Source organism: Homo sapiens, chromosome 1 (assembly GCF_000001405.40).
Source record: "Homo sapiens chromosome 1, GRCh38.p14 Primary Assembly".
Taxonomy (NCBI): Eukaryota; Metazoa; Chordata; class Mammalia; order Primates; family Hominidae; genus Homo; species Homo sapiens.
In genome coordinates this window covers 52,785,423-52,810,577 of record NC_000001.11, presented here as the reverse complement: position 1 = coordinate 52,810,577, position 25,155 = coordinate 52,785,423, and the positions used below count along the sequence as shown (strand labels likewise).

General features: G+C 38.7%; 1 protein-coding gene and 1 pseudogene across 3 annotated transcripts in view; one reads left to right on the top strand and one right to left on the bottom strand.

Moving 5' to 3' along the window:
* Positions 1-25,155, bottom strand: part of ZYG11B (zyg-11 family member B, cell cycle regulator) — a 100,884-nt gene that overhangs the window by 16,759 nt on the left and 58,970 nt on the right. For 2 of the 3 annotated variants that reach the window (NM_001441954.1, NM_024646.3), the window contains 5 exons: positions 20,511-20,575; positions 14,187-14,286; positions 13,794-13,844; positions 8,598-8,759; positions 8,439-8,486 (listed from right to left, as the gene is read on the bottom strand). In NM_001441954.1, the coding sequence (NP_001428883.1) occupies positions 8,439-8,486; positions 8,598-8,759; positions 13,794-13,844; positions 14,187-14,286; positions 20,511-20,575 (426 nt within the window). Of the gene's footprint in view, positions 1-2,652; positions 2,742-5,053; positions 5,108-8,438; positions 8,487-8,597; positions 8,760-13,793; positions 13,845-14,186; positions 14,287-20,510; positions 20,576-25,155 lie in introns of all 3 variants that reach the window. The other variant, NR_199864.1, reaches the window with a different exon arrangement.
* RNU6-969P (RNA, U6 small nuclear 969, pseudogene) lies at positions 5,366-5,470 on the top strand (annotated as a pseudogene).

Below are 25,155 nucleotides of genomic sequence, written 5' to 3'. Positions count from 1 at the left end.
CTGGATGGAAAACAAAGTGAGCTATTGCCTTTAAAGTTTCCAGGCTGTAGCACAGGGATACAGACCTGAAGCAGAGCTCAGTAGACTGAATGGAGTAGGAGATGAGGTGAACAGTCCACAGAGATGAAGGTAACTCACAGGACAGAACACCAGGGAGAAGGGAATTTGCACATAAAGTGAGTCCAGCCATCTGTAGAGTCCCACTCTATTCAGCAGAGTAATGATAATAAAATGAACACAAGGAAGCTGAGGGCAGGAAAATAACCATCTAAAGAGTTAGAGAAAAGTGCATAGTGCTCACAGAGGGCCAGGAATAGTGCATGTTCTCACATATTCTCATCACCCAGTATGGAAAAACCTTTCATTCACAAGGCACTGGGTAGAGTCCTCAGGAAGGTCTTGTTTCAGTAGCAGAGAATAATTAGCCATAGCCTGACCACTGCTCTGGAACCTCCTAATAAATCATAAAAAGCAAGTGATCAAAGTGATCAAAATGTTTAAAAGTAAGTTAACTGCATCCCAGAACAAAGTTCAAGAATATTCATAGAAAAACAAAAATATTCAGCAACCAAGAAGGTAAAAATTCACAATGTCTGGCATTCAATCAAAAACTACCAAGCAGAATGGGAGAAAACATTTGCAAGACATATATCTGATAAGGGATTAATATCCAGAATATATAGAGAACTCCTAAAATACAACAACAAAAACACAAACAACCCAATTTAAAAATGGGCAAAGGAATTGAATAGATATTTCTCCGAAGAAGACATACAAATGGCCAATAAACCCATACAAATATACTCAACACCACTTATCATCAGAGAAATGCAAACAAAAACTACAAGATACTGTCTCAGACCCATTAGAATGGCTACTATTAAAAAAAAAGGAAAATAACAAGCGGTGAGAATGTGGAGAAATCGGAACCCTTGGACACTGTTGGTGGGAATGTAAAACAGTAGAGCTGTTGTGGTAAACAGTATGGTAGTTTCTCAAAATTTAAAAATAGAATTATCATGATACAGTAATTCTATTTCTGGAACTATACCCCATAAAATTCAAAGTAGAGTCTTAAAAGAGATATTTGTGGCCGGGCGCGGTGGCTCACACCTGTAATCCAGCACTTTGGGAGGCAGAGGCAAGCGGATCACCTGTATGATTCCACTTACATGAAGTAGTTAAGGAGTTAAAATCATAGAGACAGAAAATAGAATGGTGGTTACCAGGGCCTGCAGAATGGGGGAATGGAATAGTATTGTTTAATGGTTACAGACGTTCAGTTTTACAAGATGAAAACAGTTACAGAGATGAGTGGTAGTGATGGTTCTACAACATTATAAAAGTATTTAATACCACTGAACAATACACTTAAAAATGGTTAAGATGGTAAATTTTACGTTGTTTACCACAATTTAAAACATAATAAATTTTTTAAAAAGTAAATTAAAACCTAAGCATGCCAAGTATCAGGAAAACATAATTCATAATGAGGAGAATAATCACTTGAAATTGACCCTGAACTGACACAGATACTAAATAAAACTAGCCGATTAGGATATTAAAAGAGTTATTAAAATTTTATTTCATATATTCAAAAAGTAGTAACACGGAAGATACAAAAAACACCTAAATTGAACTTGTAGAGATGAAAATGACAATGTCTAAGATGAAAAAATCTACCAGATGGCATTGTAGCAGATTAGATATTGCAGATGAAAAAAAATATTGAACTGAAGGCATAGCAAGGGAAACTATCCAAACTGAAACACACAGAATACAAAAGAACAAAAACATTAAAGAGCATCAGTAACATGTGGGACAATGTCAAGCAGCTTAACATGTGCAAATTAGCGTCTCCAAAGGACTCCAATATGGGGAAAAGGGCTGCAAAATTTATTTTAGGGAAATGGGCAGGTCACAGTGGCTTACTCCTGTAAGCCCAGCACTTTGGGAGGGCAAGGTGAGAGAATCACTTGAGGCCAGGAGTTTGAGACCAGCCTGGACAATACAGCAAAATCCCATCTGTACAAAAATATTTTAAAAAGAAATAATGGCTAAAAACTTTCCAAACTTGATGAAAACTATAGACCTATATATCTGAGAAGCTCAATAAATCCCAAATATAGGAAACATGAAGTTAATTACATCAAGACACATATAATCAAATATTCAAAATTGTTACTAATCTTAAATCTTTTTTTTCTTTTTTTGAGATGGAGTTTCGCTCTTGTTGCCCAGGCTGGAGTGCAATGGCGTGATCTCGGCTCACTGCAACCTCCGTCTCCTGGGTTCAAGCGATTCTCCTGTCTCAGCCTCCCGAGTAGCTGGGGTTACAGGCACCTGCCACCACACCCAGCTAATTTCTGTTATTTTGAGAAGAGATGGAGTTTCGCCATGTTGGCCAGGCTGGTCTCGAACTCCTGACCTTAGGTGATCCACCCGCCTTGGCCTCCCAAAGTGCTGGGATTCCACGCGTGAGCCACCGTGTCCGGCCAACTAATCTTAAATCTTAAAAGTAGCCAGAGGAAAAGAACGTGTACATACATAAGTACAAAGATAATGATGACATCAGATTTTTCATTAGAAAGAAGCAAGTCAGAAAAAAGCTAATCAGTATCTTTAAAGCAATGTCAATTTAGAATTATATACCTGGTAAAAGTATCTTTCAAAAACAAAGGTTAAGTAAAGATGTTTTCAGTCAGACAAAAGCTGAAGAATTCATCATCAGCAGATCCACACTGTAAGAAATGTTAAAGGATGTCTTTTAGGTTGAAGAAAAATGACACCAGGCTATGGTGGTGCACACCTATAATCCCAACACTTTGGGAGGCCAAGGTGGGTGGATCACTTGAGTTCAGGAGTTCAAGACCAGCCTGGGCAACATGGCGAAAACCCATCTCTACAAAAATTTAAAAATTAGTCGGGCATGGTAGTGTGCGCCTATAATTCCAACTACTCAGGAAGTTGAGGTTGGGGAATTGCTTTAGCCCAGGAGGTCGAGGCTGCAGTGAGCTGAGATCATGCCACTGTACTCCAGCCTGGGTGACAGAGTGAGAACCTGTCTCAAAAAAAAAAAAAAAAAAGTACTCTTAGCAATTCTGAACTATACATTATTATTAATTTAGGGATTATAGGTGTGAGCCACTGCACCCAGCCAAGAGTAAATTTTAAATGCTCTCACTACAAAAAACAGTAAGTATGTAAGGTCATGGATATGTTAATTAGCTTGATTTAATCATTCCACAGTGATTAAACACATCACAACATCACATTGGGCTGGGATGGTGCCTCACGCCTGTAATCCCAGCACTTTGGGAGGCCGAGGCTGGTGGATCACTTGAGGTCAGAAGTTCGTGATCAGCCTGGACAACATGGTGAAACCCAGTCTCTACTTAAAAAAAAAAGGCCGGGCGCGGTGGCTCACGTGAGTCTGTAATCCCAGCACTTTGGGAGGCTGAGGCGGGCAGATCATGAGGTCAGGAGTTTGAGACCACCCTGGCCAACATGGCAAAACCCCATCTCTACTAAAAATACAAAAATTTGCCGGACACAGAGGCAGGCGCCTGTAATCCCAGCTACTGGGGAGGCTGAGGCAGGAGAATCACTTGAACCCGGGAGGTGGAGGTTGCAGCGAGCTGAGATCACACCACTGCACTCTAGCCTGGGCAACAGAGCAAGACTCCGTCTCAAAAAAAAAAAATTACATTGTACTCCACATACACAATTATTATTTTTATTATTTAAAAAAATTTAAAAATCACAGGAAATGTAAATGATCCAAATACCCCAAATAAAAAACAGATATTTTCAAACTAGATGAAAAAGCAGGATGCAAGGTATATGCTATCTACAAGAAATACATTTTAAATATAAAGACAAATATAGGTTAAAAGTAAAAGGATAAAACAAGAAATGCTATGCTAACACTAGTCAAAAGAAAGTACAAATGGCTATATCAGTATCAAAGCAGACTTCAAAGTAGAGGATATTAGCAGGGGTAAAGAAAGTCATTTGGTAACGGTAAAAGAGTCCATTAAACAGGAGGACATAATTCTAAATGTTTATACATCTAATAATACAGTTTCAAAATACATGAAGAAAAAGCTGATAGAACTGTAAGGAGAAACATACATCTACAATTACAGTCAGAGATTTCAAAACTCCTTTGTCAATAATTGATAGAACAGGTAGGCAGAAAATTAGAAAGGATGTGGTAGAATTGTACAGTATCAACTGTGACACTGTACAATCTAATTATTAATTAGTGTTAATTAATCAAGCTAATTAACAATCAGTGACCTGATTGTCATTTATAGAACACTATACCCAATAATAAGACAATACACATTCCTCTCAAGTGTACATGGAATATTTACCAAAATAGACCATATCCTTGGCCATTCACAAGTCTCAATAAATTCAGAAGGACTCAAACCAAACAAAGCATATTCTCTGACCATAAATAATTAAATTAGAATAAATATCTCAAATTAAATTATTGAAAAAATTTAATCACAAGGTAACAGAGAAAAATATGGAAGGAAACATATAAAGTTATATTAATATTAATAACTTCATGGAGATAAAAATGACGAAAGGTTGGAGACAGAGCCTTAAGGATGTTAAATACAGTTTTGCACTGTTTCACTAGTTATAACAACATGTATTCCTTTGGAAATTTAAAAAAATATATAGGTTTTTTTTTGAGATGAAGTCTTTTTTGTTTTGTTTTGTTTTTGTTTTCTGAGACAGAGTTTTGCTCTGTTGCCCAGGCTTGGAGTACAGTGGCGTGATCTTGGTTCACTGCAGCCTCTGCCTCCCAGGTTCAAGCAATTCTCCTGCCTCAGCTTTCCGAGTAGCTGGGACAGGCATGGGCCACCACGGCTGGCTAATTTTTGTATTTTCAGTGGAAACGGGGTTTCACCATGTTGGCTAGGCTGGTCTTGAACTCCTGACCGCACGTGATCCACCCACCTCAGCCTCCCAAAGTGCTGGGATTACAGGCATGAGCCACTGCACCCAACCCACAAATATTTAAAATAAATTTCACCTTTCCGTTTCAGATGACCTGAGCCAACTTCTGTATCAAATAATCATATTAACCCTGAAAAAACAATCAAATGCTGTAATTTATTTAATAATTCCTCTATTACTGGACATTTAGGTTGTTTTCCATTTTCTACCTTATATAATGAAGGCTACAACAACAGATAGGTCTTCCTTAAATGGCAGTCCTCAGCTTTCCTAAAAATCCATCTCCTCACTGCTTGCATGTGGAAAACAAGCTCCAATTTACATTTTTTAACTCACTAATCTATGCCTCCCATAATCTAATTCCTTGAGAGCAGAGGTCTGCTTTTTTGTGCTCACTTGACAGCATATATACTAAAATTGGAACGGTACAGTGAAGATTAGCATGACCCCTGTGCAGGGATACATGTAAATTTGCAAAGTGTTCCATTTTTTTTTTTTTTTTTTTTTTTGAGACAGAGTTTTGCTCTTGTTGCCCAGGCTGGAGTGCAATGGTGCGATCTCGGCTCACAGCAACCCCCGCCTCCCGGGTTCAAGTGATTCTCCTGCCTCAGCCTCTCGAGTAGCTGGGATTACAGACATGCGCCACCACGCCCGGCTAATTTTGTATTTTTAGTAGAAACGAGACTTCTCCATTTTGGTCAGGCTGGTCTCGAACTCCCGACCTCAGGTGATCTGCCTGTCTCAGCCTCCCAAAGTGCTGGGATTACAGACATGAGCCACTGCACCTGACCAATATTTTTTTCAAAAATAAAAAATAAAATAAAATGGCTTTTGCCACATAGACACTTTGCCTGTTACAGCAATTAAGCTGATAAAACATTTGATCTTTACCTTTGTCTCAAAATCCTAGAGGGCTTACTTTAATCCATATCCAATATGTTAAGAAATATGTGATTTGTAAGCAGGCTTTTGTTTTTTGTTTTTTTTTCTGAGACCGTCTCACCCTGTTGCCCAGGCTAGAGTGCAATGGTGCAATCTCGGCTCACAGCAACCTCCACCTCCCAGGTTCAAGCGATTCTCATGCCTCAGCCTCCTGAGTAGCTAGGATTATAGGCATGTACCAGCACACCTGGCTAACTTTTGTATTTTTAATAGACATGGGGTTTCACTATGTTGGGCAGGCTGGTCTCAAACTCCTGACCTCAGGTGACCCGCCTGCCTCACCCTCCCAAAGTGCTGGGATTACAGGCTTGAGCCACTATACTCGGCCTTCGTAAGCAGTCTTTAAGTAGTAATCATTAACTATCAAACACAGACTCTAAGAACACTTGTAGGTTAATGACTTTTTTTTTTAAGAGACTGGGTCTCACTCTGTCACCCAGGCTGGAGTGCAGTAGGATGAGCACAGCTCACTGCAGCCCTCAAACTCCTAGGGTCAAGTGATCCTCCTGCCTGAGCCTCCCCACTAGCTGGGACTACAGGTACATGTCACCATGTTCAGCTAATTTTCTTATTTCACTTTTTGTAGAGATGGGGTTGTGCTTCGTTGCCCAGGCTGGTCTCAAACTCCTAGGCTCAAGCAATTCTCTCACCTCATCCTTCCAAAGTGTTGGGATTACAGGCATGAGTCACTGTGTCCAGTCTGATAACATTTTTTAATGAGATCTGGTTTACCAATTATAAAAGTGAAACACAAGGCCAAGTGTGGTGGCTCATGCCTGTAATCCCAGCACTTTGGGAGGCCAAGGCAGGAAGACTGCTTGAGCCCAGGAATTTGACACCAGCCTGGGCAACATGGTGAGACTGCAAATCTACAAAAATAAATAAACAAATAAGCTGGGCATGGTGGCACATGCCTATAGTCCTAGCTACTCTGGAGGCTAAGGTGAGAAGATTGCTTGAGTCTGGCAGGTCAAGGCTGCAGTGAGCCGTGATTGTGCCACTGCACTGCACAATGGGCAACAGAGTGACAGACTCTGTCTCAAAAATAAATTTAAAAAAGTAAAACATGCTCAGTGTGAAACTTTGTACAATACCAAAAAATATAAAGAAGCATATGCGTATTATATTTTTCCTTTTAATGTGGCAAAAATCTTTATATATAAATATATATATACACACACACACACATATATGTGTTGTGGTTTTTTTTTTTTTTCTTTTGAGATGGAGTTTCGCTCTTATTGTCCAGGCTGGAGTGCAATGGCGTGGTCTCAGCTCACTGCAACCTCCGCCTCCCAGATTCAAGCAATTCTCCTGCCTCAGCCTCCCAAGTAGATGGGATTATATGTATATATATGTGTATATATATATATATATATGTGTGTGTGTGTGTATATATATATATATATGTGTGTGTGTATATATATATGTGTGTATATATATATATGTGTGTGTATATATATATATGTGTATATATATATATATGTGTGTATATATATATGTGTATATATATATATATGTGTGTATATATATATGTGTGTATATATATATATATATATGTATATATATATGTGTATATATATATATATAGTGGCAAAAATAAAAAATAAAAAAAAAATAAAGTTGTAGGGTTTTTTTTGAGACGGAGTCTTGCTCTGTTGCCCAGGCTGGAGTGCAGTGGTGTGATCTTGGCTCACTGCAATCTCCACCTCCTGGGTTCAAGCAATTCTCCTGCCTCAGCCTCCGGAGTAACTAGGACTACAGGCGCGTGCCACCGCACCCAGCTAATTTTTTGTATTTTTAGTAGAGACGGGGTTTCACCGTGTTAGCCAGGATGGTCGTGATCTCCTGACCTCGTGATATATTTTTATAGTCTTTTTAAATTTAATAACATTTATTTTCCAATGTCATTGTTTACAAGTATCACAGCAGCAACTTTCTTTCTTTCTCTCTCTCTCTCTCTCTTTCTTTTTTTGTTCATTCGCCTAGAAATTGTCAAAAATTGCCACTGCTGACCAGGCAGCTCATGCCTATAATCCCAGCACTTTGGGAGGCCGAGGTAGGAGGATTGCTTGAGCTCAGGAGTTTGAGACCATCCTGGGCAACATGGCAAAACCCCATCTCTACAAAAAATACAAAAATTAGCTGGGCATTGTGGTGCACACCTATAGTCCCACCTACTAGGGAGACTGAGTTGGGGGAACTGCTTGAGCTCAGCAGGAGGTCGAGGCTGCAGTGAGCTGTGATCACACCACTGCACTCCAGCCTGGGCAACAAAGTGAGACCCTGTCTCAAAAAAAAAAAAAAAAAAAAAAAAAGAGAGAAAGAAAGAAATTGCTATTGCAGACCATATTTCAAGTCATCATGGTGAGGTATTGGGAATAGTTCTCAATTAGCAATGACCGTGCCTTAGATAAGGGGCTATGATACTGCCACTGCAGAGCTGCAACTTTCAATGTGTTACTTCAGACAGAAAATAAATATAGCTTGGAACTTAGCAGGAAGTGCTTATATCTTACCAAAAGTCCTAGAACTTTCTGCTGAATGGATGACTCAGTTGGGAAAGACTGTAAAAAGAAAAAGAAACCTATAATTACCTGAAGAACCAAATATAAAATAAATGCTAAAGTAAATAAATTAATAAATATCAAAACTGTAAGCTAAATTCCCATTCTAACCTCTAGAACCCTCATGAAGAGTTCTAACCCTTGGTTTTCAATAAAGTGTCTACAAGTGGTTGGAGATTCATCTGTGAGGTTCCAAAGTGCACTCAAAGTAAATTTCAATGTAGTGTCCACTGAATTTTGATTGGTTTTCTGCTTCACTATTTGAAGAAGTTGCTGAAAAAAAAAAAAACAGAAATAAGTTTTCACTTTTGAACTGTTATTACAATTTGTGGTGATTAATAACCCCAAGTCCATGAGGATTAGTCTCATGGCTTAAAGCATTTCCTGTAAAGGTACTTATAACAAACAGCCCCTTGGACTGAACTTTTCTTCAAGAAAAATGTATAAGATTTTCATAAATACTTCTATATTATTCTGATCATATCTATAATGTAATCACCCATAAATAACATAGGCAAAATGATTAAAACTTCGGTCAACTATCTTATTCAGTCACAGCATATACTTATTTTAGATTCTAGAATTAAAAAGGCAAAGGAAAAGAAGGGCAAATGAAGCTAACATTTATTAAGGATTAGCAAATTATATTCTATATTGTAGTACTGTTATTCCCATTTTTTAGGAGAGAAAATTGAGTCTGAGAAATATTAACTAATTTGTTCATAGTCAATTTAGTCAGAGAAAGTAAGAATAGGAAGACCTAATCTATCCAACTCCAAGTTTTCCTTAAGAAAAAAAAGAAAGGAAAAACTACATACAATAAAAGAATTAGTCTATGTTGACTATAAATAAGATAATAGCCCCTCCCTCCTCAGCCTTCCCTGAGAGCAGATGCTGCAGTACCTCTGTCTTCCTTTTTCTTATTTTTCCCCCTTTCCCCTTCCCTTTTTATTTCCTTTTCCCCTTCCTCCCTTTCAAAAAAACAAGAAGATAATAGCTTTGAAATTCCAGGTGCAAATTAGTTCTATCATAGCTTTACCCTAAAAAATTTATGTTTGAAAAGTAAGTGGTTTTAAAACTACATAAGGCATCCATAATTCAATTTTTAGATTATACTTTTGGAGGTAAAAAAGGAAGCTCTGTTAAAACAGATATAAGAAAACATTAATGAACATAATACTAGTGGCTATACACAATTCAGGAAAAAAAACTGAAGAAACATAAACATGTAGGTATAGTTAGGTATCACTACTATTACTAATTCCTTTTTTTTAATTTTTTTGGGACAGAGTCTTGCTGTTTTGCCCAGGCTGGAGTGAAGTGGCGCAATCTCAGCTCACTGCGACCTCCACCCCCCCGGGGTTCAAGTGATTCTCTGTCTCAGCCTCCCAAGTAGCTGGGATTACAGGCGCATGCCACCACACCTGGCTAATTTTTATATTTTTAGTAGAGATGGCGTTTCACCATGTTGGCCACACTGGTCTCGAACTCCTGATCTCAGGTAATCCACCCACCCCGGCCTCCCAAAGTGCTAGGATTACAGGCATGAGCCACTGTGCCCAGCCTACTAATTCCTTCTTTAAGCTCGATTTCCTCCCAAAGCATATGAGTAGATTTCCTAAAAAACCTTTGAAGATACCAAAATTACTGAGGTACATATATAGCAATAAGAAGTCATTTTTTAAAACTGTCACCCCTGAAAACAGTAAAATAAACAAAATAAGCATCTTTTTCTACTTATCTAATGTATATTATATTTAGTGTTACGTACTTAGCATATACTACCTCAGTTAATCATTTTTCTTTTTTTTTTTTTGACATGGAATCTCACTCTATCACTCAGGCTGGAGTGCAGTGACACAATTATAGTTCGCTGTAGACTTGAACTCCCAAGCTCAAGCGATCCTCTTGCTTCAACCTCCTGAGTAGCTGAGACCACAGGTGCATGTCACCAAGCCCAGCTAATTTTTTTTTTTTTATTAGAGCCAGAATCTTGCTATGTTGACCATGCTGGTCTCAAACTCCTGGCTTTAAGTGATCCTCCCACCTCAGCCTCCCAAAGTTCTGGGATTACAAGCATGAGCTTTTCTTTTCATTTAATCTTCATAATAACTGTATTAAGTCCTTTTTATCACCCCAAAGAAAACTGTGATTTGCCCAAAATACATGGCTAGTAAGAGACATAACTGAAAATAAATCCAGATATGTCAACTCCAGAATTCCTACCCTTTTCATTATTCCCGAATAGCCTTCTCTCTCTTTATAACATTACTTTTTTTCCTTTTTCTTCTTTTTTTGAGACGGAGTCTCACTCTCTTGGCCAGGCTGGAGTGCAGTGGCCCAGTCTCGGCTCACTGCAACCTCCACCTTCCCGATTCAAGCGATTCTCCTGCCTTAGCCTCTTGAGTGGCTGGGATTACAGATGCGTACCACCACACCTGGCTAATTTTTGTATTTTTAAGTAGAGATGGGGTTTCACCATGTTTGACACCATGAGGCTGGTGTCGAACTCCTGACCTCGTGATCCGCCCACCTCAACCTCCCAAATTACAGGCGTGGGCCACTGTGCCCAGCTATTTTTTTCTTTCTTTTGTTTTTTTTTTTTGAGACAGAGCCTTGCTCTGTCGACCAGGCTGGAGTGCAGTGGCATTATCTCGGCTCATTGGAAGCTCCACCTCCTGGGTTCACATCATTCTCCTGCCTCAGCCTCCCGAGTAGCTGGGACTACAGGCGCCTGCCACCACACCTGGCTAATTTTTTGTATTTTTAGTAGAGACGGGGTTTCACTGCATTAGCCAGGATGGTCTCGATCTCCTGACCTTGTGATCCACCCGCCTCGGCCTCCCAGATTGCTGGCATTACAGATGTGACCCACCATGCCCGGCCTATTTTTTTCATTCTTATCTCTATTATTATACTTTTTAGATTTTGTTACAACCATATCTACATAGCTATTTTTTTTCTATTGCACTGTTATGGGTAGAATTTATAGATATAACTCAGTGTGAATTATAATTACATAATTATAATTCAGTGTAAATTCCCTAACATCTAGTAAGGTAGCAAGTATCATTCATTTGATATCATGGGTACTTTATACATATTTATCAAATGAATGGTTTACTTTCTCATTACATACATAATTTATGTCATGGAAAAAGGGAGTCTCTTATTTGACTTTTCCATGTAGTATTACTATTCAAACACCTCATGCCAGGATTTTAACAGGCATGTTTAAATATACTTTTTGCCTCTAAGTCTTCCCTAAGACATTGTTTATATCTACTCCCTTTAAAGCTGTTTAAAGTTTTCGTGGTTTACTAGTCTTATTTCCTCAACTGATTGTAACCAAGCAAAATCATGTATCTGCTTCCCCAAAGCATACAGCACAACCTTATGCCTGTAACAGAGTCTCTACATTTTCTATATAAATAACAAAAATCACAGAGTTTTAGAATTAGATAGGTGTTTTGTATTTTTGGAGACAGGGTCTTGCTCTGTCACCCAGGCTGGAGTGCAGTGGCGTCATCACGGCTAACTGCAACTTTGACCACTTGGGCTTAAGCAATTCTTCCACCTCAGCCTCTTGCGTAGCTGGGACCACAGACATGTGCTACCATGGCTGGCTAATTTTTAAATTATTTGTATAGATGGGGTCTCATATTGCTCAGGCTGGTCTTGAACTCCTGGGCTCAAGCAACCCTCCTGCCTTGGCCTCCCAAAATGCTGGGATTACAGGCATAACCACTGTGCTTGGCCTTAGATAGGATCTTAACACTTATGTAGACCCCAATGGTTCAAGTAATTTTCCCAAATTCACAAAGTGAGTTTACAAGCTAGATCCTAGGTCATCTGACTCCTAGGTCAGGGCTTTTTCCATTTCTGTTAAGGAGTAAAGCTGCATATATGAAAAGAAATAAATTCACTTCTTTACAAATAACCAAAAAAAAATTTTTTGTTGTTTGTTTTGAGAACGGGTCTCACTCCATCACCCAGGCTGGAGTGCAGTGACATGATCACGGCTCACTGCAGACTTGACCTCCTGGGCTCAAGTGATCCTCCCACCTCAGCCTCTTGAGTAGTTGGAACCACGGGCATGTGCCACAATGTCCAATTTTTTTTTTTTTTGGTAGAGAAGGAGTCCCATTAGATTGCCCAGACTGTTCTTGAACTCCTGGCCTCAAGTGATCCCCTCCTGCCTTGGCCTCCCAAAGTGCTGGGATTACAGGTGTGGGTCACCGCATGCCTAGCCACAAAAAATTTTTATTAAAATATAAAATGTTGGCCGGGCACGGTGGCTCACGCCTGTAATCCCAGCACTTTGGGAGGCCGAGGTGGGCGGATCACAAGGTCAGGAGATCGAGACCATCCTGGCTAACATGGTGAAACCCTGACTCTACTAAAAATACAAAAAAATTAGCCGGGCATGGTGGCAGGCGCCTGTAGTCCCAGCTACTCGGGAGGCTGAGGCAGGAGAATGGCGTGAACCTGGGAAGCGGAGCTTTCAGTGAGCCGAGATCGTACCACTGCACTCCCAGCCTGGGCGACAGTGCGAGACTCTGTCTAAAAAAAAATATATATATATATTTTTATATATTATACATATTATATATCATATATAATATATATATCATATATGATATATAATATATATGTTATATATAATATGTATAATATATGATATATATTTCATATATGATATATATGTATTATATATTATATATTATATGTATTATATATAATATATAATTATAAATATATAATATATATATTATATGTATATATTTATATTATATTTTATATATAATATAAATATTTTATATATAATATAAATATATATTATATATACAAATTTATATTATATAATATATATTTATATATTATATATAAATAATTTATATATAATATATAAATATATATAATATATAATATATAAATATATAATATATAATATATAAATATATAATATATAATATATAAATATATACAATATGTAATATATAAATATATACAATATATAATATATAAATATATATAATATATAAAAATTTATATATATAAATTTATATATAATATATAAATATATAATATATTTATATAAAAAATATATATATTTATATATATTATATATAATATATAATTATACATTATATATAATATATAATTATATATAATATATAATATATATATAATTATATATTATATATAATTATATATATATAAAAAATGTCAGAAAATATACAATACTGCCTGAAAACAATAAACATGAATATCTAGTGGCCTGAATGGAGGAGATTATAGACTTACCCTGACAATGAAGAGCTCAGTACCAAGCTGTGCAGTTTGTTCTGTAGAAAGCTGCAAGCAAGTAAAAAACAAATTCAATGTCCAAGAACTCATTAATGTGAGTTTAATATCATTCACTGTACCTCACTCCAAAGGTGAGACTAAAATCTCTGATCAACTTGGAATTCTGCTGCATATCGGTTTTTGGGAGGCCTGCCTCGGCCTCCCAAAGTGCTGGGATTATGGGTGTGAATCACTGTGCCCAGCCAAATTCTGCAATATCGAATGTAGCTTGAATAAGCAGGCTGGCAGAGAGATTTACTAATGTTTCTGGCACACAGCTTTTGGGGGGAAACAGTAAATGTAGTGAGAAACAGCTGTCTACAGAAAATTATTCAGCAAGAGTTCAGGTACCTTGGCAGCCAGGATAGAAATGATAGCAACTGCCATCCTTTGCATGTTTTGATCCTCATGGTTGCAAAGCCACTGCATGACAAGCTTGGCTGCTTCAAACCTGAAAACACAAAAAGGGTTTCATGAATTAATCGTGGAGGCCCAGGCACAATTTCAGAGTTCCAGCTAGGAACTGATGCTACAACTTAAATATATGAAAAGGCAAGGGAAAATTCCTCTTAACTGGTAGAGAGTAACAATTACACTTAGTGTTTTAGAGATGATGCCATAATATTAATTCTGACAACATTTCATAAAGAAAGAAGGGTTTGGAAAATATCATTCCAACTATTTGGCATTTCATCTTCTAGAATTATAACATATTTCTATTCTGTATTTCTAAATTATAGTGATTTCCATATTATAGTTGTAATTTAAGTATTTTTTGGGTTCCTCATAGCACCTAACACAACAGAAACATTCATTCATTCATTCACAAACATATATTAAACTCTTGCTTTGTGCCAGATATTGTTCTTAGTGCTGGAGATAGAATAGTGAACAAAACAGAAAAATGTCCCTACTTTCATAGAGCTTACATTCTAGTGAGGAAGACAGGTAATAAATCAGATAAATACGTAAAATATATAGTATGATTAGGTACTGACCATATGCTACGGAAAAAAATAAAGCAGGAAAAGAGGATATGAAATGTTGAAATTTTATGTAGGGTGGCTACGGAAGGCCTCATTGAAACTTTTGAGGAAGTAAGAAAGAACCATATGGGCATTTAGGGGACAAGCATTCCAGGCAGAGGGGAGGAGAAATACAACAGCCCTGAAGTGGGTATGGGCATAGAAATGTCAACAAATAGCATGGAGGTCAGTGAGGCCAGAGCAGAGAGAACAAGGGAAGAGTTCTGAGAGATAAAGTGAGAGGTAACAGAGGCACCAGATCACATGGAGTCTAGTTATTAGTCCATTCTTGCATTGCTATAAATAACTACCTGAGACCGGGTAATTTATAAAGAAAAAAGGTTTAATTGGCTCATGGTTCCACAGGCTGTAAGGAAGCACCACTGGGAAGGCCTCAGGAAACTTGCAATCATGGTGGAAGGCGAGACTGGCACATCCTACATGGGTGAAGGAGATGGAAGGGCAAAGCCGGAGGTGCTACACACTTTTAAACGACCAGATCTCGGGAGAACTCTATCACAAGACAGCACTCGGGGGATGGTGCTAAACCATTAGAAAACACCCCCATGATCCAATCACCTCCCACCAGGCCCCACCTCCAGCACTGGTGATTACAATTTAACATGAGATTTGGGTGGCGTCACAGGGCCAAACCATATCATTAAGGAACTAGCTTTTACTCTGAATGAGAGGGAAAGCCATAGAAGGCTTCTGAGCAGGAATATGACATGAGCAGGACTACTCGATCATCTGTGTTTAGAATCAACTCCAGGAGGGCAAGGACAGAAGCAGGAGAGCAGTTCTGAGGCTACTGCAGTAATTCAGGAGAGAAATCACTTTTAGTCTACTCCACGTGATAGAAATGGAAGTGAAGAGAAATGGATGAATTCTGGATAAATTTTGAAGATAGAGCTGGATTTGCCAAAGAACTCAATGTGGGATACAAGGAGAAAAATCAAGATGAGGTCAAGGAATACATCTGATTATCTTACCCACAGTTTCATCCTTAAGACTCAGATCAAATATCACTGCCTTTGAGGTGGTTTCTTTGACACATTGATCACTGCCTTCTTAGCTCCTTAGTACTTTAGGTATAGCTGTCAGAGATCCACAGTCATCTGCACACTCACTTGAATCCCCATTTGGCCTGTGAGCTCCTTGAGGGCGGGGACTATATATCCTATTTAGCCCTTTATGCCACGCACGCACTCAATACAGTGATCGAAACATAAATAATGTTTAATATATGTTGACTGAATGATTATTTTCAGGTAGATTACTACTGTAGAACTTCTCTTAAATTTACTATTACCTTCTTTCTGTTTCCAAGGCCATTTCTGATTAGGCCCACTACTTGCATTCTTCTACAATATATTCCTAATTGGCTTCCCTGTCTCCACTAGTTTCCAATCAATGTGTGCCTGCACATTAGAAATAAACCTCTGGCCAGGAGCAGTGGCTCACGCCTGTAATCCCAGCACTTTGGGAGGCCGAGGTGGGCGGATCACAAGGTCAAGAGATAGAGACCATCCTGGCAAACATGGTGAAACCTCGTCTCTACTAAAAATACAAAAAATTAGCTGGGTGTGGTGGTGCGCGCCTATAGTCTCAGCTACTCGGGAGGCTGAGGCAGGAGAATCACTTGAACCCGGGAGGCAGAGGCTGCAGTGAGCTGAGATCACGCCACTGCACTCCAGCCTGGCGACAGAGTGAGACTCCATCTCAAAAAACGAAGAAGAAAGAAGAAATGAAAGGAAAGGAAAGGAAGGGAAAGGAAGAAAACAAAGAAAACTAAGAAAGGAAAGAAAGGAAAGAAAGGAAGGAAGGAAGGAAGGAAGGAAGGAAGGAAAGAAAGAAAAGGAAGAAAGAAAGAAACCTGTCCGAGGACTTAGGTATGATGTCACTCCCATACTCAAAGCATTCTAGGACTTTAGCGTGGGGCCATATCAAGCTTCTTCCTGCCTACCCTATGCTTTCTGCAAAGCAGATTGTTCATTAGTCTTCACACATGCCCACAAGTATGAGGTAACACAGGCTAGTGGTAAAGTGTAGAGATTCTCAAGTCAGTTCTGGGTCTGAATTCTAGTTCTACTTAATGTTAATGATAACAATAAAATAAATTATTTTATCGTGAGGCAATGCAGTCAAGTTGTTAAGAACATCATACACTTTGGAGTCAGCTTGGATTCCAATATCACCTCCACCACTTATTAACTTTTTGTTTTTGAGACGGAGTTTCACTCTTGTTGCCCAAGCTGGGGTGCAGTGGCACAATTTTGGCTCCCTCAACCTCTGCCTCCAGGATTCTCCTGCCTCAGCCTCCTAAGTAGCTAGGAGCCGCCACCACACCTGGCTAATTTTTTGTATTTTTAGTAGAGACAGCGTTTCACCATGTTGGCCAGGCTGCTCTAGAACTCCTGACCTCAAGTGATCCACTTGTCTTGGCCTCCCAAAGTGCTGGGATTACATTCTCCATGAGCCACTGCGCCTGGCCTAACTTTGGGACTCTGACCAAATTCCTTAACCTCGCTGAACTTCAACATTCTTATCTGTAAAATAGTAACAAAAACTTATTCCAGGCTGGGTGTGCTGGCTCACACCTGTAATCCCAGCACTTTGGGAGGCCAAGGCAGGCAGATCACCTGAGGTCAGGAGTTTGAGACCAGCCTGGCCAACATGGTGAAACCCCGCCTCTACTAAAAATACAAAATTAGCCTTGCGTAGCGGCGCACATCTGTAGTCACAGCTACTCAGGAGACTGAGGCAGGAGAATTGCTTGAACCTGGGAAGCAGAGGTTGCAGTGAGCCGAGATCTTGCTATTGCACTCTAGCCTGGGCAACAAGAGCGAAACTCTGTCTCAATAAATAAATAAATAAATAAAATAAAAACCTATTCCATAGGGTTGTCATGAGGATTAAATGATATCACATAGAAGCTTAAGACTTAGTACAGAATTTGGCACAAAATAAGTTCTTTATAAAAGTTAATTTTTACTAATATAATTGACTTTCTCTGTGCCTTTATTCATGCAGTTTCAACAACATAAAACAATTCAAACAGCTCTCATCTTCAAAACAACATAGCATGGATGAAAAAATGGAGGCCCTGGAGTCAGACTGAATTTAAATCTAGACTCTGCTACTTACTATCTTATTACCTTGGGCAAGTTACTAATCCTTTCTGTGTCTCTATTTCCTCATCTGTAAAATGAAGATCATAAGAGTAATAATTTCACAGGATTGTTCTGAGGACTGAATAAGCTTACATAAAACACTTTAGCACAATGTCTGCCTGGCAGTAGTAAGTGCTTCATACATGCTAGTTTTTACCGTTTTTATCTCAAGTGCCATAACTAACAGGAAATCCTTAATGATCATCAGTCAGACAGAATCTTTCCTTCCTTGTGTGGGGGCACAATGCATTTCATTAACACCTCTTCTATGAAAAATTCTGTCTCATGTAATATTCATTCATTCATTCATTCATTCATCCATCAATCAATCCACTAAATATCCACCCAAGCACTAGAGACAAAGAGATGAATCAGTCATAGCCTCTGACCACAAAGAAGGTCAATTCTAGCAGAGTGCATTGGCTAGATGAGAGGAAAGCAAACTACATAGCCTGTGGATCTGGCTGCCTGTTTTGTAAAGTTCTGTTGGAACACAGCCATATCCATTTGCTTACATATTACCTATGGCTGCTTTTGAGGGACAATGGCAGAGTTAAATAGCTGCAACTGAGACTCTATAGCCCATAGGCCTAGAGTATTTCTAATCTAGCCCATTAAGAAAATATTAAGGAGTAGAATATAATCTTTAGGAGAGTGACTATGTCTTTCCTACCTTAGACTTTGTTACGATGATGAGCACAGAGGTTCAATATTCCCAAAATAAAATTAGCAATCTACATGAGATATACGTAGTTATATTTTTATCCAAATTGTTTATTTCAAATAAAAAATGGAACACCTCTTTCCTTAGCCATGCCAGATAAGTGTACTCTGTTACTCAAATAAAAGTAAATCACAGTAAAATTGCTGCTTGAAGGCCAGGCGCAGTGGCTCATGCCTGTAATTCCAGCAATTTGGGAGGCCGAGGTGGGTGGATTACCTGAGGTCAGGAGTTCGAGACCAGCCTGGCCAACATGGTGAAACCCCATCTCTACTAAAAATACAAAAATTAGCCGGGTATGATGGCACATGCCTGTAATCCCAGCTATTTGGGAGGCTAAAGCAGGAGAATTGCTTGAACCCAGGTAGTGGAGGTTGCAGTGAGCCGAGATCACGCCATTGCACTCCAGCCTGGACAACAAGAGTGAAATTCCATCTCAAAAAAAAAATAAAATAAAATAAAAAATTGCTGCTGGAGAAACATACTTTTCATTAAATAATGAAGTATAAGTTTCCTTTTCAAAATGCCATTGTTAAAAAATTATATTTTAAGACTGGGCATGGTGGCTCACGCCTGTAATCCCAGCACTTTGGGAGGCTGAGGTGGGTGGATTACTTGAGGTCAGGAGTTTGAGACCTGCATGGCCAACGTGGTGAAACCCTGTCTGTACCAAAAAATACAAAAATTAGCCCAGCGTGGTGGCACATGCCTGTAATCCCAGCTACTCAGTTAGCTCAGGTAGGAGAATCACTTAAACTCAGGAGGAGGAGGTTGCAGTGAGCTGAGATTGCACCACTGCACTCCAGCCTGGGTGACAGAGTGAGACCCTTTCTCAAAAAAAAGAAAAAGAAAAATTATATCTTAAAATAGTAAAATAAAAAAAAAATTTAAGCTCCAAAATTACATCTTAGAAAACAAAGGACCCCTTTATATTTAATGGAATCTAGTTATATGGCCTCCCTTAACCTCTCCTTAAAAAGTTTCTTCCATAATTCAATACCAAATAATGATAATAATAACAGACATGTTACAAAAAAAAAAAAAAAAAAAGAACACTGGACCTAGAATTAGAAGACCTATGTCTTTTTTTTTTTTTTTTTTTTTTTTTGAGACAGTCTTGCCCTGTCACCCAGGCTGGAGTGCAATGGCGCGATCTTGGCTCACTGCAACCGCCGCCTCCGTTCAAACGATTCTCCTGCCTCAGTCTCCCGAGTAGCTGGGATTCCAGGCGTGCGCCACCACACCTGGCTAATTTTTTGTATCTTTAGTAGAGACAGGGTTTCACCAGGCTGGTCTCGAACTCCTGACATGGGGATCCTCCCGCTTTGGCCTCCTAAAGCGCTGGGATTATAGGCATGAGCCACTGTGCCTGGCCAAACCTGCATCTTACTAATCTTGCAGTTATTAGACACAAAGCCATAGTCAAGACAATGAATCTCTATATATGCCTTAGTTTTTTTATCTTTTGAATGGGGATAATAATGTTCATAGCTTACAATATCATGTGGATATCTTGAAAACTATAACCAACATAAATTCCTAAGCAAAGGACTATGAAAACATGGGTCAATTTGCTATCATGAATGTCAAAGCCACTAAATTAAAGAAAGTAGATTTAGCATTCTATAAAATAACCCACAATTCTATCTATTCAATTAATCTTATAAAAGGGATATCCTAAATGGTAAGAAATGACCCAAGACAGATTTCTAACATTCTGTTTTGCCCCACTTTAAGTTCTAGAGCTATCACTTGCCTGTTAAATGGAACATCTTGAAGGATCCGGTCACTGCAAAGTGAAAGGAGGCAATTCTTCTGTAACTAAAGAATCAAAGGAAGAAAAAAATCCTAAATAAAATATCACTTTGTTATATTTTAACCATGGTAGCTTCCATAAAAAAAAAAAAAGAAGAAGACTGATGAAACACCAGTTATTTCTTACAATCTTTATCTGCCCCCCTAGTATTGAAAGGCTGAGTTCCAGGAGACCCATACAAGTTTACTTGTACCTTTTTTTTATTTTCCATTAGATGAGAAATAGGGCCATAAATAGGATAATTACAGCTAATCTCCTTTCTGGTGGCCTATGAAGTAACCTTGTCTTCTGTATTTTTTGAGATAGAGAGCATGACAAAAACAGTGGTTGAAAGTTTTACCTGTTGACATAGCATCAAATATAGACGAGCCTGCTTGGAAGACTCTAACATAGAGTACACGGTGGGTAGTGTTCTACACACTGGCCTCTAAAGAGTGACTGACAGACTTGGCTCTATCTTTTAAATAAAGTTTAGACCAGCACAATTAAACAAGAGTAAATGAAAATATGAATAATTAATTGACACAGTCAAGGTGCACCATCATAATAGAAAGGTGATTCAAGTTATTCCTGTGAAGCAAAATAAGAAAATAAGTGTGGGCTTAAAAAAAAGTCACAGTGTATATACTACTAAAATTTTTTTATTTGGACAAATGGCTTTAATATTTTTTAAAGGTTTTTGTGTACGATTGGAAGATTTCTTATCTAAAAAGACTTAATATAGGGAATTCAATCATAGAAGGCAAAAGTCAGTTAATGGGATATATACAGCTAGTCAAGAAATAGAAAAACAGATATAAAATGAACACCCTATTTGCTTCATGGAAGATGCAGAAAGATTACATAATAGAAGAAATGGCAGAGAAAAGGCAAAGTGGTAGTGAATCCCAGGTGAATGATATGGAATGGGTTAGGTACAAGTGTAATTAATTAAGAGGGTTTCTCAGGAAGTTTTATATTCATCACAGATGGTCAAGGTGCTAGGACAGACACTGCTTGAGGATCCATTTAAATCTGAATCATAATCTGGCAGATTGATTAGTGGCATAACTTTCCTCCTTCACCATTTTTCTCCTCCCAAATAAACACGATAATTTGTACAGGATCCATAGAAGTAAGAAAGGCAATAATGCTATTCTAATTACCTCCACTTAGAAAGCCCATCCCTCCTGTTCCTTTAGCTGGAAAACTCCTAATTTTCCTTCACAATTCAACTCAGGGCAAAGATATTACCTCATTGAGGAAGACTTCTTAGTTTTTGTTTGTTTGTTTGTTTTTGAGACAGGGTCTCGCTCTGTCACCCAGGCTGGAATGCAGCGGCACAATCATAGCTCACTGCAGCCTCAAACTCCTGGCACTCAAGTGATCCTCCTGCTTCAGCCTCCCAAAGTGCTGGGATTAAAGGCAAGCCACAGTGCACAGCCTCTAATTTTCAAATTGTCCTAAGTGCTCCTCCTGGGCTCCCAACAGCACTTGTTTCTCTTAGTACTTGCTACACCATGCTACATTATGTGTTTCTGTATCTGAATGCTTAGAACTTGGCACAGGTGCACATAGTCTGACTTCAACAAAGAGCTGCTAAGCTTAACTGAACTAATGGCTAACTTAATAACAGAAGATAAATTTCACTGAATCTATGCCTTACTGCATTTGAAAAGCACCACAGGTAGAAATGGAAAAGAGAAAGACTTTTGCTGTAGTCTTCAATTTCCGCCCAGCTAGAGTTTTGATTTTGGGGGCTACAGTCTGAACTATGCAAGTATTTAGGAATTTTCTTTAAATTTTTTTTTTAAGGAATTCAATGTGGAATCAAACTTTCCTATGCTGGCATTCATCAAATCTGGCCCTAACCTGGATATCACTGGCCTCATCCTACACTGCCCTTCCTACACTCCAGTCACATGCAACCTGCCCTTCCTGGAATGCCTGCACATTCACATATATATTTACAAAATATATGTAGGCATAGGTCCACTGTTTTTCTGCTTTTCTCCATGGGAAATCTTATTCATTTTTTAAGATGTGAGTCAATGTCACTTCCCCTTTGAAATCCTGCCTGGTACCTTTGTCTATACACCAATCCAGCCAGCAGAATTAATCATTCTCAACTTTCTGTAGCACTTAGTTAAAATAGCTAAAAAAATTTCAAAATAGTTTACAGTATTTGCATTTCCAACTAATAGGTGAATTCCCAGGGTTTTTTTTTTTTAATTGAGTTGTTTTTAAATGTTTTTACTAAATAAGAAATACAGAAAAATATTTACAAAATATATGTAGGCATAAGACAGTGCTTCTCAAACTTTAATGTGTATACAAATCACTTGGAGTCTTGATATAGATGATTCTGTAAGTCTGTTATCTTGAGATTCTGCCTTACTAACAAGCTTGCAGGGGATGCCAGCGCAGCTGGTTAGCAGAACACACTTTGAGTAGCAAAAGTGTAAGGAATAATAATACAGTGAATACTACTGCTGTGTAGGTGTACCTACCACTCAGTTTCAGAAAAAGAATCTATTACCAATAGTACTATTAGCAAGCCCCATTTGGCCCCCTCTTTTCCCTCTCATTTCCCCTCAGAGGAACTAATAGCTAAATTTTGTGTTTAACAGTCCCTTGCTTTTTATCAAAACATGTATTTATATTCCTAAATAATGTGTCGTATAGTTTTGCAAGTTTCTGAACTGTAAGTAAATTGAATCACATGTATGTACTCTTCTGCATTTTTTAAAATACCCAATTTGTAATTGAGATTGATCAAGGTTGTCATCTGGAATTGTAATTCATTCATCATTCACTGCTTCTAAGTATTCCGATGTGTGACTAAACACAGGCTGATGGACATTTGGTGTTTGGTGTTTCCAATATGTTATCATTATACACAGTTACACAGTGCTACTGTGAACACTTTTTTTTTTTGAGACAAGAGTTTCGCTCTTGTTGCCCAAGCTGGAGTTCAATGGTGCGATCTTGGCTCACTGCAACCTCCCCCTCCCGGGTTCAAGCGATTCTCCTGCCTCAGCCTCCCGAGTAGCTGGGATTATAAGCATGCGCCACCACGCCCAGCTAATATTGTATTTTTAGTAGGGATAGGGTTTCTCCATGTTGGTCAGGCTGGTCTCAAACTCCTGACCTCATGTGATATGCCTGCCTTGGCCTCCCAAAGTGCTGGGATTACAGGTGTGAGCCACAACGCCCGGCTCGAACATTCTTTTTTGTTTGTTTGTTTTGAGACAAGGTCTTGCTCTGTTGCACAGGCTGGAGTACAGTGGCTTGATCACAGTTCATGGCAGCCTTGAGTGCCTGGCTCTAACAATTCCTCAACATATGGATTTAAATGCTTTTAGGCATGTACTCTTTAGGCTCCTGAGTAGTTGGGACCACAGATGGTGTGCCACCATGCCAGGTTAATTTTTTTATTATCTGTAGAGACAGGGCCTCACTATGTTGCCCAAGTTGGTCTTGAACTCCTGGGCTCAAGTGATCCTCCTATTTCAGCCTCCCAAAGTGCAGGGATTACAGGCGTGAGCCACCGTGCCTGGCCTACTGTGAACATTGTTTTTAAAAATATATAACGACTTTATTGAGATACAGTTCATGTACCATACGATTCACCTACTTAAAGTGTACAATTTGATGGATTTTAGTAGAGTCACAGAGTTGTGCAACCATCACAATTTCATCATCCCAAACATTTCCATCACCCCAGAAGGAAACTCTATAACCATTACAGTGACTTCCCATTTCCCCCACCCCATTTCCTAACCTTATTTATTTTATATGCATCCTTTCTCATTTTTCCCTGATCAACTTTGCCAGTGAATTTTCAATACTATTAAATATGTTCAAAGAACCAATTCTTGGAATTATTGATCCTCTCTAAAATAATGGTATGTTTTTTATTTTATTAATTTTTACTTTCATCTTTGTTATTCCTTCCTTCTACTTTCTTTGGGCTTATTCTTTTGTTGTTTCTCTAACATAGGCAGACTTATTTATAGCTCCCTTTTTGTAAGAATGTATCTCTGGGGAGGAAGTCATAGTTTATGCTAGGAGTCTTCTGTCTGACGGGCTTCCAGAGGCCACGAAAATCAAAGCCTAAATTTCATCTAGTTTGGCAACTGCCCTCAATGAGGGAAGCTGGCTTCAATGATCTACTCACCAATGTGGCTTGCCATTTTTACTTGGTTTTGAGCCTCTGAGTATTTTTTACTAACTTGCCAACTCAATGGTCAATTTCAAATGACCTAAAAAAAAGTTAAGGGCCGGGTGAGGTGGCTGTAATCCCAGCATTTTCAGAAGTTAAGGTGGGCGGATCACAAAGACAAGAGATGGAGACTATCCTCACCAACATGTTGAAACCTTGTCTCTACTAAGAATACAAAAATTAGTTGGGTGTGGTGGTGCGCGCCTGTAATCCCAGCTACTTGGGAGGCTGAGGCAGGAGAATCACTTGAACCCGGGAAGTGGAGGTTGCAGTGAGTTGAGATCGCGCCACTGCACTCTGGCCTGGCAACAGAGCAAGACTCTGTTTAAAAAACAAAAAAATTAAGCAACATTTTTAGTATTCATCCTGAGTATAAGACAG